This window comes from Homo sapiens, chromosome 1 (genome assembly GCF_000001405.40).
Source record: "Homo sapiens chromosome 1, GRCh38.p14 Primary Assembly".
In the NCBI taxonomy this organism is placed as follows: Eukaryota; Metazoa; Chordata; class Mammalia; order Primates; family Hominidae; genus Homo; species Homo sapiens.
Window position 1 is genome coordinate 70527614 of NC_000001.11, and position 1979 is coordinate 70529592.

The following is a 1979-nucleotide window of genomic DNA, read 5'->3' on the forward strand; positions in this document are numbered from 1 at the left end:
TAGAGTTTTCTATGCTAGTTAAATTGAAATGTTTCAGTTGTGTTTTTAGCTTATTTCTTTCTCTAACAAAATTTGACCATCTAATTTTTCCCATTGTTTGGATATCAAATACCCATAATAAGATATGTCAGTTGTATAAGAAGAGGGAGCTTAGTTTATTATAAAGTGAGACTTTTTTCTTTTCACACATTTCTAGCAAGAAGCAACTTGGCCTGCTAAACGCATACAGCAGGAGAAACGAGGACTTCTCTGCTGGGCTTGAAAACATTACAATGGATGTGTCAGGACTGTAGGCCTGGTGATTCAGTCCTTACTGCAGCAAATTTTATTGACAGTGTGATCCTCATGCCTTGGCCTCCCAAAGTGCTGGGATTACAGGTGTGAGCCATTGGGCCCTGCCAGGATTTGTTAATTTTTTGATTTCTCAACTAGTGTTGGCAAGCTTGGAGTGGAAAGTATAAACTTTCAATTTTGTATTATAAAATCTTGTTTTTATCAGTAGCACTCTCATGTCTTGGTTTCACTATTTACTTTGTCTCAGAAGCCCTAGATTGGGGCAGCTTGCTTCTTGACTGACATGCACAATGTCAAAGGATATGACACCAGTCTGTCAGCAGAGCTCTAGCAGCTACCTCAACACCGTGACCATGTCTGCAGAGAATGCTCCAGCCTTGCCTGCTCATACACGTTAGTAACATGATACAGTCTTTTCCATCTGTACAGAAGAGCTAGAATATTCCACCAAAGTTGTGAAACATGAATCTAGCAAAAACAAACAAAAAAGAAGACAAAACACAAACCATAAACCTTGTGTGGTCTGGAAAAGGGAGAGGGGTTGGTGAGGTAGAGATAGAGCTGAACATGTGTGAAAGTCTCTGAGGAGGAGCCCTGTGTGCTCTCTGAATGAGGGGGATAGAATCCCAGGAAGTATGAGCATCTGTCCTGTAATCAATTTCTGCCTGAAACCACACAAGGAGGTGTTTCATGATATCATGAGGATCCTATGCCGCTAAGAAAGAAGGACCATAAAATACAGCGTCAAAGGGAAAATGGTCTGTTGGAATTTTGATTGCCCTGAGGGGTGGCATGGAAGAGCTGCCAGTTTTTCCCATGTCCTTGAGAAGGGCACAGCTTTTAGGAGAGAGAGAGACAGAGAGTCCTGGTGGACCTGCGAAAGTCTCATATTCTTGATGAGAGACACATAGAGGAAAAAGGTGTGGACCGTAAGACCAGAGATGTGTGGGAAGGGAAGGAACTCAGTGAATGCTTGTGTGGACCGTCTTCTGAGCACTGAGTGCGATCATAGTCTCACTAGATGGCAGCAGAGTGTAGGTCCCAGGATATGAAGGGACGATCGGCTATCTCCCCTTTACCCCCAACCCCACATTTCCCACCACTGCTCCTTGCCATGACCCTTCTTCAGGAACTTCTATGCCATCTCTGGGAGAAAGGCAGAACGTGACCAACTAAATTGTTGTGTTTAAGCTGGAATGAATGAGTTTACTCTTAAAGCGGTACAATTTTGTTTTCTGCTTTTGAATGTATCCTGCGGCACCACCAACTCTTAGAATTGTGTAACGTCTAATTCCTTAATAAATTCCCCACTTTATATCACTCATGGAGGTTCTGATTCTCTAATTGAACCCTGATGGTTCTAGGAGTTGAGGTTTGTAATGGTTCCATGAGAACAAAATCTTAAGGATGGTTATTGTGAATTGGTTCTGGATTATCTGGAATGGGTTCTTGGATGAGATTAAATTTATAGGCAGTAATAACTGTGTTTGCATTGGTAAGGAGGACACTTGCTTATAGCATGCAATGGCAAAGCAGTTACTTATCATCTGCAGCCACCTGTAATCCAATGCCAGTATAAGGCAAAACTTTCATTTTGAGCAGTCATAGACAGCTTCAGGTCCTTTCTCTTTAGGTGGGGAATTTAAAATCCTGAGCTTATAATTTTTTCCCTGAAGTTCTCCAGC

General features: G+C 42.1%; 1 annotated feature.

The window, feature by feature from the left end:
* Window positions 1071-1572: an enhancer, noted in NCBI's record as "NANOG hESC enhancer chr1:70994367-70994868 (GRCh37/hg19 assembly coordinates)". NCBI's record gives its function as "activates a minimal SCP1, AML or CMV promoter by ChIP-STARR-seq in naive H9 embryonic stem cells {active_cell/tissue: H9 hESC(naive)}" and the evidence as "EXISTENCE:reporter gene assay evidence [ECO:0000049][PMID:30033119]".